At 43.4% G+C, this 18121-nt stretch overlaps 1 protein-coding gene across 1 annotated transcript in view, besides 2 other annotated features; it reads right to left on the bottom strand.

The window, feature by feature from the left end:
- The window catches only part of EEPD1 (endonuclease/exonuclease/phosphatase family domain containing 1), a 148285-nt gene that overhangs the window by 28226 nt on the left and 101938 nt on the right, over positions 1 to 18121 (bottom strand). The gene's annotated exons all lie outside the window — the stretch shown is intronic.
- Positions 13885 to 14691: an enhancer, noted in NCBI's record as "NANOG-H3K27ac-H3K4me1 hESC enhancer chr7:36298231-36299037 (GRCh37/hg19 assembly coordinates)". NCBI's record gives its function as "activates a minimal SCP1, AML or CMV promoter by ChIP-STARR-seq in primed H9 embryonic stem cells {active_cell/tissue: H9 hESC(primed)}" and the evidence as "EXISTENCE:reporter gene assay evidence [ECO:0000049][PMID:30033119]".
- Positions 14692 to 15500: an enhancer, noted in NCBI's record as "NANOG-H3K27ac-H3K4me1 hESC enhancer chr7:36297422-36298230 (GRCh37/hg19 assembly coordinates)". NCBI's record gives its function as "activates a minimal SCP1, AML or CMV promoter by ChIP-STARR-seq in primed H9 embryonic stem cells {active_cell/tissue: H9 hESC(primed)}" and the evidence as "EXISTENCE:reporter gene assay evidence [ECO:0000049][PMID:30033119]".

The raw sequence follows: 18121 nt of genomic DNA, 5'->3' as shown, positions 1-18121 counted from the left end.
ACTAATCACAGCTCATATTCAGTCCTCATAACAACCCTGGGAGGTTGGGAATAACAGTCCCATTCGACACACGACGAAACCAGGGCTCAGAAAGGTAACATAGCCGGGTCACTTACTGACACTCAGTAAACAGAAACCAATCGACCCGTGAGTGTGTGTGTGTGTGTGTGTGTGTGTGTGTGTAAGCATGCACCAAATGCATTCCAACTTGTGAGTTCCCTGGAGCTGCACAGTCACCACCCTGCTGAGGTCAATTTCGTCACTGATGCCTCGGGTCACATAGGCCCTGATGACCCAGATTTCACACAGAGGTCAGTACATCGGTCAACTTTCCTCCCAGGAGGGGCCGGGGCTGGTGGGCCATGCCCACTCCGTGCCACATGCCTAGCATTCAGAGCTTTGTAAGGAAGCCCTGTTCTAAATGCTCAGGTCCCACCCTTCCTTGTCAAGAGAAGCCATGGGCTTCCTGCTCCTGTGTCACAGTGTGCCACTTGAAGGGTGGCTCTTCCCCATTCTTCTTCCATGGGGGCCAGGAAGGCATTCTGCATGATGGTGCATCCTTGTTTAAAATTCTTATCATGCAGAGGAAGGTAGAAAGCAAACAAGGAGACATTTCCTCAGCCCCCGCCACCAGCTAATTATTAGCTGCTTTTACAGAACCAAGGTAAGTGACACCCACGTGCTCTCCCACCACGAGCGACTGCTGGTTCTGTTAGCCTCTCCATGTGCCCCAAAGATACCAACCACATGGTTCCTGAGCAAGATGGTTACAAATAAGCGAAGGGAGCACAAAAAAAAAAAAAAAACAACAACAAAAAACCAGAAAAACCTTGCAAGGGCTATTATGAAACTGAGAGCAAGATGCAGTGGCAAGTTTGTGGAGACTGAAGTGAAGTTAGGAGGAGGGAGGAGCTGTGTGGGGTGCAAACACACTCCTTAGGGACTCTGCACTTTCACACTGTGGCCATTGTCATCAGCGTCATCTTCATCACTCATCTCTGCCCTTTAGGAATGTTCCAAAGGTTCTTTACTTCTCCAAAGGTCTTTGGATGCTAAGACTCTTAATCCTAGATGGGAATTAAGACTTCCATAGTAATTTCATCGGCTTTTTTTTTTATCTTTAAATTAATGGCAGGGGGTGGTGGTTCATGCCTGTAATCCTAGCACTTCGGGAGGCTGAGGCAGGTGGATCACTTGAGGTCAGGAGTTCAAAACCAGCCTGGCCAACATGGTGAAACCCTGTCTCTACTAAAAACACAAAAAATTAGCGGGGCGTTGTGGCAGGCATCTGTAATCCCAGCTACGTGGGAGGCTGAGGCAGGAGAATCACTTGAATCTGGGAGGTGAAGACTGCAGTGGGCCGAGATTGTGCCATTGCACTCCAGCCTGGGTGACAGAGTGAGACTCTGTCTCGAATAGAATAGAATACAATAGAATAGAATAGAATAGAATAGAATAGAATAGAATAGAATAGAATAGAATAGAATAGAATAGAATAGAATAGAATAGAATAGGAGGCTTATGTTCCTTACAGCTTATACAAAAATTAACTCCAGATGGATTAAAGACTTAAATGTAAAACCTAAAACCATGAAAACCTAGGCAATACCATTCAGGACATAGGCATGGGCAAAGACTTCATGACTAAAACACCAAAAACAATGGCAACAAAAGCCAAAATTGACAAATGGGATCTAATTAAACTAAAGAGCTTCTGCACAGCAAAAGAAACTATCATCAGAGTGAACAGGCAACCTACAGAATGGGAGAATATTTTTGCAATCTATCAGTCCGACAAAGGGCTAATATCCAAAATCTACAAGGAACTTAAACAAATTTAAAAGAAAAAACCAAACAACCCCATCAAAAAGTGGGCACAGGATATGAACAGACACTTCTCAAAAGAAGATATTTATGCGGCCAACAAACATATGAACAAAAGCTCATCATCACTGGTCATTAGAGAAATGCAAATCAAAACCACAATGAGATACCATCTCATGCCAGTTAGAACGGCGATCATTAAAAAGTCAGGAAATAGGCCAGGCGTGGTGGCTCATGCCTGTAATCCCAGCAAGGCGGGCAGATCATGAGGTTAGGAGTTCTAGACCAGCCTGGCCAACATGGTAAAACCCTGTCTCTACTAAAAATACAAAAAATTAGCCGGGCGTGGTGGCGGGCGCCTGTAATCCCAGCTACTCGGGAGGCTGAGGCAGGGGAATGGCTTGAACCTGGGAAGCAGAGGTTGCAGTGAGCTGAGATTGCGCCACTGCACTCCAGCCTGGGTGACAGAGCAAGACTCCAACTCAAAAAAAAATAATAATAATAATAAATAAAAAGGAAACAATAGCTTGCTGGAGAGGATGTGGAGAAATAGGAACGCTTTTACACTTGGTGGGAGTGTAAATTAGTTCAACCATTGTGGAAGACAGTGTGGCGATTCCTCAAGGATCTAGAACTAGAAATACCATTTGACCCAGCAATCTTATTACTGGGTATATACCCAAAGGATTATAAATCATTCTGTTATAAAGACACATGCACATGTATGTTTACTGCAGCACTATTCACAGTAACAAAGACTTGGAACCAACCCAAATGCCCATCAATGATACTGGATGAAGAAAATGTGGCACATATACACCATGGAATACCATGCAGTCATAAAAAAGGATGAGTTCATGTCCTTTGCAGGGACATGGATGAAGCTGGAAACTATCATTCTCAGCAAACTAACACAGGAACAGAAAACCAAATGCCACATGTTCTCACTCATAAGTAGGAGTTGAACAATGAGAACACATGGACACAGGGCAGGGAACATCACACACTGGGGCCTGTTGGGGGTTGGGGGCTAGGGAGGGATAGCATTAGGAGATATACCTAATGTAGATGATGGATTGATGGGTTCAGCAAACCACCATGGCACGTGTATACCTATGTAACAAACCTGCACGTTCTGCACATGTATCCCAGAACTTAAAGTATAATAAAAAATAAATAAATAAAGGCTTATGTCCTGCTATAAATAAATACAAGTGCAGGATAATTTATAAAATAGAGAGTCAGAAAAAAATTAAGTATAATACCACTGTGCAAAGACCACTACTGCTAATATTTTTGGTGGAATTCCTTCTAGGCTGTTTCCTGTGCATTTTATCAATATATCTTATATGTCTGTATACACACACATACACACACATATGCACACACACATTCTGCTTTTCCCACTTATACTGTGCCATGTTATCATAAGCTCTTCTAAAATCAAGTCCTTCCTGGGCCATCTAACCTGCTGTTGTTCAGTGTGCCATCTCCTTGGTGGCGAAGCTTTCATTGGCTGGAGGAACTTTCTGCCTTTTTGAGGTTCATTTCTAATCACTATGAAACATCCTAAAATCACCTAGCAAGGTAGCAATAAAACTTCACCCACTATGCCCTCTCATGTTCGAAATGATTTTTATCTATATGTTTAGAAAAGAATCCTAAGAATTTCAAATGGCAATATCTTTGTTTCCAAAAGTAAATCAGAAGGTTTTGTTGCTGGGTTTTGCTTTATTTTTTAAAATTTTAAATTAGAATAGAGATGGGATCTCTCTATGTTGCCCAGGCTGCTCTTAAACTCCTGGGTTCAGGCGATCCTTCCGCATGGGCCTCCTGAAGTACTGGGATTCCGGGCGTGAGCCACCGCACCCAGCCTGCTTTGTTTTAATATACCTGCCTGTGATAAACAGATGGCAGCACAGGGGCCTGGAGTATGAATGACCAAAGACATTAACCCCTCAAAACATATGATCAGAAAGGACATGACTCTTTAGTTTTTCAGAGACAGGGTCTTGCTATGTTGCCCAGGCTAGACTCCAACTCCTCAGCTCAAGCAATCCTCCCGCCTCAGCCTCCTAAGTAGCTGGGACCAGTTGTGAACCACCACACCTGGCTTGACTCTTTCCTTTTTAAATCGCTGACTGACACAAGACAAGAGTCTTCATAAATAGCTTAGTTTTTTTCATCTGAAGACAAATAGTCCTCACCTTAATTTTTTCCCTCTAGCTTTATTTATAATAAAGTGGTTCTTTAGAGAATTTGTCTTGACATCAACCTGTATTTGTTAGGACCTTGAGGAGCGCGTGAAGTCCTAAATAAGCTGAGTAGTTTGGTTATCTGTGTGTTTAAAATGGCCATGGGATTGCCAAGCCAGAACTTGGCGGGAATGTCTACTGCCCACTCCAGTGCTTTAAACAAACCCATGCAGACTCCAGAAGGAAACACTACTGCCATCACTCAGATTTCTCTTCTATGAGAAGAATTCTTCCATGTCCTGAATGCTTAAGTTCACTCATTATTTAATAGTAAGGTTAAGAACGCAGACTCTAGAGAAAGGCTGCCTGGATTCAAACTTTGGATCTACCACTTACCAAGAGTTTTGACTTTGGGCAAATGACTCATGTATTCTGTGCCTCTGTTTCACCATCTGTAACAAGGGGCAAAGAATCATTCCCGCCTCACGTATTTGCTATTTCTAAAGCAGGTAGCACAGGCCTGGCACCCAGCAAGTCTCTGTATGTGCTCTCCTGGTTGTTAGACACACTGGGCTGCTCCCTCAGGCCTAGACTACAGAGAGACAGATCCCCCTTCGACATTCCACACCTGGCAGCACAATTTCTGAAATACACCAGTGGAGGAAGGAGGCAAGAATCACGGTTGGGGCCAGGAGCCAGCATTGCATGCTGGGAGGTACAGTCCCCCAAAATAAAGCACTGCTGGCATGGATAGAGGGACGGGAAGCTGTGGTTGGTAACATTCTCTGGTGAGGAGAATGGACTCATCTGATCATTCGACAAAAATTTAGCAAGCAGCTGGGTAAGGTGGCTCATGCCTGTAATCCCAGCACTTTGGGAGGCCGAAGTGGGTGGATCATGAGGTCAGGAGTTCGAGACCAGCCTGGACAAGATGGTGAAACCCCGTCTCCACTAAAAATACAAAAATTAGCCTGGGATTACAGGCACGGTGGTGGATGCCTATAATCCCAGCTACTCGGGAGGCTGAGGCAAGAGAATCACCTGAACCTGCGAGGCAGAGGTTGCAGTGAGCCGAGATCACACCACTGCACTCCAGCCTGGGCGACAGAGCAAGGCTCCGTCTCAAAAACAACAACAACAAAACACTTAACAAGCACCAAACGGGGGCCATCCTGGGCTAGGTTCTTATCTTAGTCAGTTCAGGGCTGCTTCAAGGAATACCACAGACTGGGTGGCTCAAAAAACAAATATTTACTTCTCACAGTTCTGGAAGCTGGAGGTCCAAGACCAAGGTTCCAGCGATTCCATTCCTGGTGGGGGCTCACTTCCCAGTCTGCAGATGGTCACCTTCTTCCTGTGTCCTCGCATGGCAGAGAATAGATAATCTATCTCATGTCTCTTCTCATAAGGGTACTAATCTCATTGATGAGGGCTGTACCCCTCATGACCCAATTACCTCCCAAGGACTCTACCTCCAAACACCATCATACTGGGGATTAGGACTTGAACATAACAAGTTGGTGGGTGGCAGGGGATACAAACAGCTAGTCCATGACAATTCTGGAGCTATAATGGGGAGTAAAATAGACATGGTCCTTTGCCCAACCTGAGCTTACAGTCTTACAAGTAATCACCTGCATGTAAAACTGCAGCTGGGGCCTGGGCTGCAGAGGAGTGGTTCCAGGAGCTTGTGTGCATCCAGGATGGTCTTGGTGTTGGTGTTCACTTAGTTGGGGAAAGCTTCTCCAAAGAGGTGATGCTTGAGCTCAGAACTCAAGGATAAGAGGAGTTAATTAGGCCAAGAGGAGGGGAGAGCATGCTAGGCAGCACAGACAGCATGTGCAAAGGGCCTGTGGTGGGACAGAGCATGGAGAGTTTGCAGGACAGAGAGGCCAGTGTGGCTGTGGCACAGATGTGGAGGGAGGGGGCAGGGTGGGGAGATGATCTTGCAGAGGCCTGGCCATGCAGGGGCCCCCATACCCTGAAAGAAATGTGTTTCTTATCCCTTGAGCAATCCTAAGATCACTGCAGGGTGTGAAGAGGGGATCTGAATTTTGAAAAGTCCATGGGGCTATGGTATAGAGTACAAGTTGCAGAAGGGCCAGGGTGGCCACAAAAATGCCAGCTGAGTACTGCAGTAACAGAGGTGAGTAGCTTGACTGGGAGGATGGCAGTGGGCAGACTCCAGAGATAATTAGGAGATAATGTGCTTGGCACCAAAGAAGTGAGAATGGTATTCAGACAAATACTTGTACATGAATGTTCACAGGAGCACTACTCCCAGTAGCTCGAAGATGGAAATGACCCAAATGTCCACCAGCAGATGAATGGAGAAACACAATGTGGTATATTCATGCAAGAAAGTATTACTCAGCCGTGAAAAAGCAATGAAGTACTGATACATGGATGAACCTTGAACACATTACACTAAGCGAAAAAAGCCAGACACAAAAGGCTACATATTGTATGACTCCATTTGCACAAGACATCCAGAGTAGGTAAATATTACTTTGGACAGAATCCAGATTGGTAGGTGCCAGGGGCTGGGCAAGAGGGGAAGGGGGAGTGACTGTTTAGTAGGTTTGAGGTTTCCTTTTTGGATGATAAAAATATCTTGGAACTAGATAGAGGTGATGGTTGCACACGATATGACTCTCCTAAATGCCGCTGAATTGTTTACTTTAAGATGGTTGATCATTAATTTTATGTTATGTGAATTATACATCAATAATTTTAAAAGTGACTTGAGTGATGGGCTAGATGTTGAGGGTAACACAGAGGAACCACACCTTCGTTCAACAAACACTGAGGATTTTGCAGGAAAGGATGCTGCTCTAGGCTACCGCTGTCGTGGAGCTCTTGGTCAGGGGAGAAACAGGAGGTCAGTGCCCTGCCCTGGGGAGGCTGCCTCTAGACTGCGAGGATTCAAACGTCTCTTCACATATGGTTACTGAGCACCTAGGAGAGGAATGCACAGCCCAGTAATTCTTGGAATACTGGCTCTTTGAAGTGCAAAAAAAGACAGTTTTAGGGCAAATAAGATAAATACTTCTTTCCAAATTAGGCACTAAATTTGTGAGTAATTATTGAAATGAATTATTCTAAGTAGAAGCAGTTCTGAAAATAGCACTGATTTCTGGAGGATTTTGTGGCTATTTTGTGAGAGTCTAGGAAAGGGGAGCGTGGCAAACCCCAAGTGAGAGCGGAAACACAGGGATGGCCACGCCATGATTTGCACCAGACATGCCCTTCCATAGATTCTAAGGTTTACATCGCCTGAGATGCATGCCAGTAAGGAAGGCTGAGAAGGCGGAGTTGCACTTGGCACTTCCTACTGAAATGCTGAACCCCAACTTTGGCAGGAAATGCCAGCCATGCCTGTTACAACATTAGCTTGTAAGCAAAAAAGGGATCTGCCCCAGGTTTGCAAGCTGATGATAACTTGTTTCCTCAAACAAACCATGTTGATTTACCCAACCACTGCTCTCCCTTTCTAGAATTTTCTTCCTCTTTGATGTTTTCAAGTTTACAGGCTGAAAGAATGTGTTAGACAGACACAGGAGAGAGATGGTTTCCTAACCCAAGAAACCACCCAACAAGAAAACTGAATAGTAGGAGCATGTTTACCCCTGAGGTATCAAAAGCCAGATATGGCAACAGAAAGGGTAGGGACGAGGAAAAGGAAGATGGAAGAGAGAGAAAGCCAACACAAAGGGGGAAAGGATTAATAATTATTTAGGTACTCAAATCCAAAGAAAATGAGTTATGAGTAGGACCAAGCTGGCAGTTTACAATAGCTCCCCATTCCTACCCTCTTACATGAACACCCACTTATTTTTTTAAACCCCAGGGATATATTTTCTCTGTCTGTAAACACTGAAGACTAGTTCACTCTCAGGCGGGCTCTAGGCAGCCAGGCTCCCAGAACTTCCCAGGCACATTTCTGTGAAGAAGCCAGAGTTGTTCAGGAATTGTCACTCTGTCTGTAAACACTGAAGACTAGTTCACTCTCAGGCGGGCTCTAGGCAGCCAGGCTCCCAGAACTTCCCAGGCATATTTCTGTGAAGAAGCCAGAGTTGTTCAGGAATTGTCACATTAAACAGAATTAGGACTCATGGACCCTCAGGGAAATCGCTCTGGTTGCCATTTTTCTTATGCGATGCCAGCCTTCAGCTATTCTAAATGGTGTTTATGCAGCCGGCTCTGCTCTGCGGTGGCAATAATCATAAAAATAAAGGCTTCAAAGCCCTGGGTGAAAGTCCTACTGATTCATGACTTATTTTATTTTGATCTGTATTATGTCAAATCCTAGTCTTTAAAGGCTGCATGTTTCCTATTTTATTTCAAGGCAAATCACACAGATTTTTGTTTTTTTTTTTTTCAGTGTGGGCAGCAAGAACTATAGGTGGCAGCTCATGAAATAGCATTCTCACTTTGGAGAATGTCCTCAGAGTCACTGGTTCTGTTTTCTTTCGTGCTAATGGGAGAAATGGAAAGCCAAATACCCAAGCTATCTTTTAGTTGAGCTCCCTTCCTGTTAAATTTTTGGCCGCAAGCTCTTAAAAGAAGAAAAACTGTTTGGTGCTAGTTTCACAGGCTTTTCTGGCTCCCTCCAACATACTGGGCACTGTGGGCCAAAAGCAAACTGGACACAGAGAAGGAGAGACAGGTTACAAAAATCAAATTAAATACCAGGCAAGGACCATATAATGGATGCCATGACAGTGTCCTGCAGGCCAGGAAGAGACACTTCATATTAATGACTTGGAACCACAGCAGCTTACATTTCCTAGAATGCTCACCCTGTGCCAATGCTGCAGGCCCTTTACACACACGCCACGATGTGGTCCATGTGATGGCTCTGTGCGGGTGGGAGGTGTCATCATCCTTGCTCAACAGAGGACGAATGCAGGGCTGAAGTAGTTAAGTAACAGACTCAAGATTATCCACAGGGCAAGTGGCTGGGTGAGGACCCAAATCCATGTCTATCGTCCTGACCCCACTGCGGGCTTCCCCCTGAAGCAACTCTAAGGAAGGAGTAATAGGATCAAGCTTGTGTTTCTGAAGGATTACTCTGGTAACAATATAAATGAGGAACTGAAACAAAATGAAACTAGAGAGACCAAACTGCAATTCTGTATGCCTTAGTTTTTCTTCTTGCTTTAAAATTTTCTAGAAATTTCACTTTTCTAGTCATAGTATGAATACTAATTAACTGGTGTGAGCTTTATCCATGTAAAAGTCTCTCCCCCACAAACATATATAATTTTTTCATAAATAAAAGCTGGTTTAATGCTGTTTCCAAATAAATTAAGCAATGAAACCATCAAAAATGTCCCTGCCACATCCTGAAATGAAGCATAAAAATACTTGTTACTTCCTCCCCTCTTACTCGCAAATGTATCCTTGCAAAGCAAGTGCCGGACAAGAATGTGTGGGTCAAGAGAAACAAAACAATCGATACATAGCAATTTATTCTCCCACTAAGAGATTTAGGCAGGTGGATGGAGGGAAGGAAGACAGAACTTACCTGCTAGAGGTGAGCTATAATACAAAACTGTGGTCTCATGAATTGTAATCATGGGAGAAAGGCCCTGATGCTCTCCCAGGAGCTGATGCAAATGTTGGGATTTGGGCAAAACCCAGAACGTGACATCTTCTCTTCCAGGTTTACCCCTTCGAATTGTACATGCTAGGGATCTTGTTTTAATCCTGGACACTTCTGACCCCTGAAGATCCCCAGAGCTATACACATTGGGAAGATGCTCTGCTCTGTGACTCCACAGTGCTTCCATGTAGCCTCTTAGATAGATTTCTTGACTGTCTCCTTGTGGAGGAAGCCACTAACAGGTGAACCAAGAGAGCAGGTAATTTCAGAGTCATTCCTGTGTGAGGTGCTGCTTTGTTTTCTTTGGCTGTCTTCTTCAAACCTAATTAACTCTGCTTTTTCCCCCCCCTCCCTTGAGACAGGGTGTTCTCTGCCACCAAGGGTAGAGTGCAGTGGTGCAATCACAGCCCACTGCAGCCTCAACCTTCTGGGCTCAGGCAATACTCACGCCTCAGCCTCCCGAGTAGCTGGGACTACAGACGTGCATCGCCACACCCGGCCAATTTTTGTATATTTTGTATAAATGGAGTTTCACCATGTTGCCCAGGCTGGTTTTGAAACTCCTGAGCTCAAGCAATCCTCAGCCTCCCAAGTAGCTGGTACCACAGGCATGCACCACCATGAACAGCTAAAGTTTTTTATCATTTTATTTCTTGTAGAGACAGAGTCTCCTATTGTTAGAGCATGTAGCTAGTCAGACATGAGCAGGACAGGAGAGAGCCCTCCCCTACCCCATACACCAGGACTGTCAAGCGACCATCAGGTGATGGTCAGGCGGTTGTAAAACTGTCTCTCTAAAATAATATTTGTTTACAGCTGCCCCCAGGGAATGGCAGTCTCCCAACAGATAAACACCTGAAGCTGGTGATCAGCAGCTTCCCCATAAGATCTCAGGAGTTGGGTGAGTGGGCTCAAGCATGTGTACTTAGAGGCACAATGGCAGAGTTTAACTGGTATATGACCTTCCTCCAGGAACACTCGACTGGTACAGGCGAAATGCCTCAAGTGAGCATGTGTACAACTTCACTAAACACACTGTACATGCTCCCCTCCCAAATGCTGGCAGACCACTGGGCATGAGGACAGTCCACTCCAAGAGAAGAATCAGGGGAGACGAGACACAACCCCCTGAATGCATGCCAACATATGAAATCCCAAGACAAAGGTCAAACCATGCACTTGAATCTCTCAAGTCACTCACTTGGCCCTCTTCCAAATGTACTTTACTTCCTTTTGTTCCTGCTCTAAAAGTTTTTAATAAACTTTCACTCTTGCTCTAAAACTTGCCTTGGTCTCTCATTCTGTCTGATGACCCTCAGACAATTTTTTTTTCCTCTGAGAAGCAAAAACTGAGGTTGCTGTAGATCCTATGGATTCACCATTACTAACACTACATTGCCCTGGCTGGTCTCGAACTCCTGGGGTCAAGCAATCCTCCGCACTTCACCCTCCCAAGATGCTGGAGTTATGGATGTGAGCCACTATGCCAGGCTAATTCTGCATGTAAAAATGCGTCTGCATTTCATGGACAAGAGTTAGGTAGGGCAGGCCTTAGGGCACGGGAAAGAATAGAGCAGCAGCAGAGTTTGTGGGTGGGGGGAAACCAAGTCCAGGATCTAGAAGGGAGCTTTGGATAATGCTTCTAAGGAATGTCAGTGAACGCTTTTGAATTTCTACAAAGATGGAGCAAAATTTCTGAAACAAGGTTGGATGCATTTCCAAAAATTTGAAATCTTGTTCAGGCCTAAACTCATCATTTCAATGCCTCCTGAAGGTTAATAAAAAATATTTTATCAGCTGTAGGAATTACTCATTCCAAATGCATTGTTAGCAATGTGACAGAACTCTCCACTGAATTATTTTCTGGCAAAGCAAGCTTTAATGGCCTGTTCAATCAGGATAATTTTATCTGCTGAGAATATCGAGCATAAATGTGTTTAGCAATGTAGCAAAAACAGTTTCACCTGCCTGCCCTTCTATTGCACTTAAAATTACTGACTAGCCCAAACTTTGCTGAATACAAAGTCATGTTCTCCAGAAATGAATGAATGAATCATTAATGAAAAGTCTCAGAATCCTCTAAAAAAGTGAATTGAAAGTTCTCTCAGCACCAAGTCATTGTTAGCATTTTCTGATAAGTGGTATTTGAGGGTGGACTGAAAAAGACAGGAAATTGCATGTAACTCCTGTCGTCATGGCTGTTGTGAGAGTTTGTATGAGGTGGTGGCTAGGTGCAACAATTTTGAAGGAACAGCAGTGAGTTGGGCACATTTTCTTTCTGCTAAAAAGTAAAACAGAGTTAAGAGACTAACAAGGCAGGAGGGAAAAGTGCTTAGGATATACCCAAGGGCAAGCAGAGGCCCTTCCAGTACTGGAAAAATCCCAGAGCAGGCCCTCTTCCAACCCAATAAATGGACTGGAACAGCAACTTTCAAACATTCTGGACCATGACTCATAGCAACAAATAAATCTTTATATGGGAACCTGGTATATTCTATTTTTCTGCCTGCCAACAGTCATCCATCCACCCACCCATTTGTCCATCCACCCACCCATTCGTCCATGCACACATCCACACATACATCTATACATACACAGTCATTCCTTGGTATTCATGGAGGACTGGTTCCAGGACCTCCCTCAAATACCAAAATCCACAGATGCTCAAGTCCCTGATATAAAATGGTACAGTATTTGTTTATAATCTATGCACATCTTCCTATATATGATTACTTATAATACCTAATACAATGTCAATGCTATGTAAACAGATGTTATACTGTATTGCTTGGGCAATAATGACAAGAAAAAAGTCTGTACAAGTTCAGTAGAGATGCAACATTTTCGTTTTTGAATATTTTCAATTCATGGTTGGTTGAATCTACAGATGTGGAGGGCTGACTACACTGAAACAAAGACTGGGGGAAATTTACTAAAATGATTTCATGATCTATTATTTGAGAGTCAAACTCAGGTCTTTCTCACTACAAGGTCCTTGATCTTTCTAGACTATCACGAGGCTTTCTTTTTTGCATTTTATCTTTGCCAAAAGCATCTGAAATGTTTTTGTTGGACTTTATGCAAATAATGCCTTAGAAATCCCCTCAAACAAAGGAAACTGTCACCAAAGCCAGTGCAGCTCTGGGACACTAAAGAAGTATGAGTTGCTCTTCAGAAGCCCATAAGTGAAATACCACACTCAGTAAATATGGTGGCCTTCAGCCCCCAGCAATATACCCAGCTTTCAAAAATCACTCATTGCCAGAAAGATTAACTGCTGAATTTTCATCAGAAACAAAAGAGATCAGAGACAGTGAAGTGGTATATTCAAAGCGCTGAAAGAGAAAAACTGTCAACCAATCTTACATCCAGGAAAACTATCTTTCAAAAATGAAGATGAAATACATTCCCATACAAAAACTGAGAGAATTTGTTGCTAACAGACCTGCCTGATAAGAAACCCAAAAGACAGATTTTTAGGCTAAAAGCAAATGACCCCAGACCAAGTGGAATCCCTATGACAAAATGAACAGCATCAGTAATTATAAAAGACACATATGTGCATATTTCTTCTCCTTCATTTTCTTAACTGATTTTAAAAGCAGCTGTATAAAACAATATGTATATGACTGTATTGCTGGGCCTATAATACATAGAAATCTAATATAGGTAAAAATAATGGCACAAAGGAGCTACATGGGATTAGAGATGTATTGGAGTGAGGAAGTATACCAAATAGTAAATGAAATTCACAGGAACAAATGAAAACTAGAAATGGTACACAAAATGGTTAATATAGCTAACTCTGTAAATACACACTAATCTACTGTCTTATCTACTTTAGAAGACATAAAAATATATAAGATAATAGGCCCGGCATGGTGGCTCATGCCTGTAATCCCAGCACTCTTGGAGGCTAAGGCAGGAGGATCACTTGATTCTAGGAGTTTGAGACCAGCCTGGGCAACATAGAGAAACCCTGTCTCTACTAAAAGTACAAAAAATTATAATAGCCGGGCATGGTGGTGTGTGCCTGTAATTCCAGCTACTTGGGAGGCTGAGGTGGGAGAATCACCTGAGCCCAGGAGATTGAGGCTGCAGTGAGCTGAGATTGGGCCACTGCACTCCAGCCTGGGCAACCAGAGTGAGACCCTGTCTCAAAGAAAAAAAATTATATATATGAATAATTATTATAACAATGTATAGTTCAAGGTGTAACATGTATAGATGCATAGACAATAGCACAAAAGGGGGAAAGACGGAATACAGCTATACAGTAGTAACGTTTCTATATCTTACTAAAATTAAGTGAGCACAAGTCTGAAATAGAGTATAAATTTGAACTAAGTACAAATCTGGTAAGTTAAGATATATATGGGGAGGCTGGCAAGATGGCCATATAGGAACAGCTCCAGTCTGCAGCTCCCAGCAAGATCAATGGAGAAAGTGAGTGATTTCTGCATTTCCAACTGAGGTACCTGGCTCATCTCATTGAGACTGGTTAGACAGTGGGTGCAGCCCACGGAGGGCGAGCTGAACCAGGATGGGGTATCACCTCACCTGGGAAGCACAAGGGGTCCGGGAACTCCCTCCCGTAGCCAAGGGAAGCCATGAGGGACTGTGATGTAAGGAACGCTGCACTTCAGCCCAGATACTATGCTTTTCCCACAGTCTTCACAACCCACAGACCAGGAGATTCCCTTAGGTGCCTACATCACCGGGCCCTGGGTTTCAAGCACAAAACTGGGTGGCCGTTTGGGCAGACACTGAGCTAGCTGCAGTTTTTTTTTTTTTTTTTTTCATACCCCAGTGGCACCTGGAATGCCAGCAAAACCGAACTGTTCACCGTTCACCGTTCACTCCCGTGGAAATAAGGCTGAAGCCAGGCAGCCAAGGGGTCTAGCTCAGTGGATCCCAACCCCACGGAACCCAGCAGGCTAAGATCCACTGGCTTGAAATTCTCGCTGCCAGCACAGCAGTCTGAAGTCGACCTGGGATGCTGGAGCTGGTGGGGGGAGGGGCGTCCGTCATTACTGAGGCTTGAGTAGGCTTTCCCCTCACAATGTAAACAAAGCCGCCTGGAAGTTCCAACTGGGCGGAGCTCACTGCAGCTCTGCAAAGCCACTGTAGCCAGACTGCCTCTCTAGATTCCTCCTCTCAGGGCAGGGCATCTCTGGAAGAAAGGCAGCAGCCCCAGTCAGTGGCTTATAGATAAAACTCCCATCTCCCTGGGACAGAGCACCTGGGGGAAGGGGTGGCTGTGGGTGCAGCTTCAGCAGACTTAAGTGTTCCTGCCTGCCAGCTCTTAAGAGAGCAGTGGATCTCCCAGCACAGCGCTCAAGCTCTGCTAAGGGACAGACTGCCTCCTCAAGTGGGTCCCTGACCCTGTGCCTCCTGACTGGGAGACACCTCCCAGCAGGGGTTGACAGACACCTCATACAGGAGAGCTCTGGCTGACATCTGGTGGGTGCCCCTCTGGGAAGAAGCTTCCAGAGGAAGGAACAGGCAGCAATCTTTGCTGTTCTGCAGCCTCCACTCGTGATACCTAGGCAAACGGGGTCCGGAGTGGACCTCCCGCAAACTCCAGCAGACCTGTAGCAGAGGGGCCTGACATTACAAGCAAAACGAACAAACAGAAAGGAATAGCATCAACATCAACAAAAAAGATGTCCACACGAAAACCCCATCTGAAGGTCACCACCATCAAAGACCAAAGGTAGATAAATCCAGAAAGATGAGGAAAAACCAGTGCAAAAAGGCTGAAAATTCAAAAAACCATAATGCCTCTTCTCTTCCAAAGGATCACAACTCTTCACCAGGAAGGGAACAAAACTGGACAGAAATTGAGTTTGACGAACTGACAGAAGTAGGCTTCAGAAGGTGGGTAATAACAAACTCCTCCGAGCTAAAGGAGCATGTTCTAACCCAATGCAAAGAAGCTAAGAACCTTGAAAAAAGGTTAGAGGAATTGCTAAGTAGAATAACCAGTTTAAAGAAGAACATAAATGACCTGATGGAGCTGAAAACCACAGCATGAGAACTTCGTGAAGCATATACAAGTATCAATAGCCAAATCGATCAAGTGGAATAAAGGATATCAGAGATCAAAGACCAACTTAATGAAATAAAGCGTGAAGACAAGATTAGAGAAAAAAGAATGAAAAGGAACGAACAAAGCCTCCAAGAAATATGGGACTATGTGAAAAGACCAAACCTACATTTGATTGGTGTACCTGAAAGTAACGGGGAGAATGGAAACCAACTTGGAAAACACTCTTCAGGATATTATCCAGGAGAACTTCCCCAACCTAGAAAGACAGGCCAACATTCAAATTCAGGAAATACAGAGAATACCACAAAGATACTCCTTGAGAAGAGCGACCCCGAGACACATAATCATCAGATTCACTAATGCTGAAATGAAGGAAAAAATGTTAAGGGCAGCCAGAAGGAAAGATCAGGTTACCCACAAAGGGAGGCCCATCAGACTAACAGCTGATCCCTCTGCAGAAACCCTACAAGCCATAAGAAAGTGGGGGCCAATATTCAACATTCTTAAAGAAAAGAATTTTCAACTCAGAATTTCATATCTAGCCAAAATTGAGCTTCATAAGCGAAGGAGAAATAAAATCCTTTACAGACAAGCAAATGCTGAGAGATTTTATCACCACCAGGCCTGCCTTACAAGAGCACATGAAAAAAGCACTAAATATGGAAAGGAAAAACCATTACCAGCCACTGCAAAAATATACCAAATTGTAAAGACCATCAACATGAAGAAACTGCATCAACTAACAGGCAAAATAACCAGCCAGCATCATAATCACAGGATTAAATTCACACATAACAATATTAACCTTAAATGTAAATGGGCTAAATGTCCCAATTAAAAGACACAGACTGGCAAATTGGATAAAAAGCCAAGACCCATCAATGTGCTGTATTCAGGAGACCCATCTCATGTGCAAGGACACACATAGGCTCAAAATAAAGGGATGGAGGAATATTTACCAAGCAAATGGAAAGCAAAAAAAAAGCAGAGGTTGAAATCCTAGTCTCTGATAAAACAGACTTTAAACCAACAAAGATCAAAAAAGACAAAGAAGGGCATTACATAATGGTAAAGGGATCAATGTGACAAGAAGAGCTAACTATCCTAAATATATATGCACCCAATACGGGAGCACCCAGATTTACAAAGCAAGTTCTTAGAGACCTATAAAGAGACTTAGAATCCCACACAATAATACTGGGAGACTTTAACATCCCACTGTCAATATTAGACAGATCAACAAGACAGAAAATTAACAAGGATATTCAGGACTTGAACTCAGCTCTGGACCAAGTGGACCTAATGGACATCTACAAAACTCTCCACCCCAAATCAATAGAATATACATTCTTCTTAGCACCACATTGCACTTATTCTAAAATTGACCACATAATTGGAAGTAAAACACTCCTCAGCAAATGCAAAACAATGGAAATCATAACAGTCTCTCAGCACACAGTGCAATCAAATTAGAACTCAGGATTAAGAAACTCACACAAAACCACACAGCTACATGGGAACTGAACAACCTGCTCCTGAATAACTAGTGGGTAAATAATGAAATTAAGGCAGAAATAAATAAGTTCTTTGAAGCCAATGAGAACACAGACAAAACATACCAGAATCTCTGGGACACAGCTAAAGCAGTGTTTAGAGGGAAATTTATAGCACTAAATGCCCAAGGAGAAAGCGGGAAAGATCTAAAATTGACACCCTCACATCACATTTAAAAGAACTAGAGAAGCATGAGCAAACAAATTCAAAAGCTAGCAGAAGACAAGAAATAATTAAGATAAGAGAAGAATTGAAGGAGATAGAGACACAAAAAACCCTTCAAAGAATCAATGAATCCAGGAGCTGGTTTTTTGAAAAGATTAACAAAATAGATAGACCACTAGCCAGACTAATGAAGAAAAGAGAGAAGAATCAAATAGAAACAATAGAAAATGATAAAGGGGATATCACCACTGATCCCACAGAAATACAAACTACCATCAGAGAATACTATAAACACTTGTACGCAAATAAACCAGAAAATGTAGAAGAAATGGATAAATTCCTGGACACATACACTCTCCCAAGACTAAACCAGGAAGAAGTTGAATCCCTGAATAGCCCAATAACAAGTTCTGAAAAGCCCAATAACAAGTTCTGAAATTGAGGCAGTAATAAAGAGCCACACATCTACAACCATTTGATCTTTGACAAACCTGACAAAAACAACCAATGGAGAAAGGGTTCCCTATTTAATAAATGGTGTTGGAAAAACTGGCTAGCCATATGCAGAAAACTGAAACTGGATCCCTTCCTTGCACTTTATACAAAAATTAACTCAAGATGGATTAAAGACTTAAGTGTAAGACCTAAAACCATAAAAATCCTAGAAGAAAACCTAGGCAATACCATTCAGGACATAGGCATGGGCAAAGACTTTATGTCTAA

This window comes from Homo sapiens, chromosome 7, assembly GCF_000001405.40.
Source record: "Homo sapiens chromosome 7, GRCh38.p14 Primary Assembly".
Taxonomy (NCBI): domain Eukaryota; kingdom Metazoa; phylum Chordata; class Mammalia; order Primates; family Hominidae; genus Homo; species Homo sapiens.
This window is presented reverse-complemented; position numbering and strand designations above follow the sequence as displayed.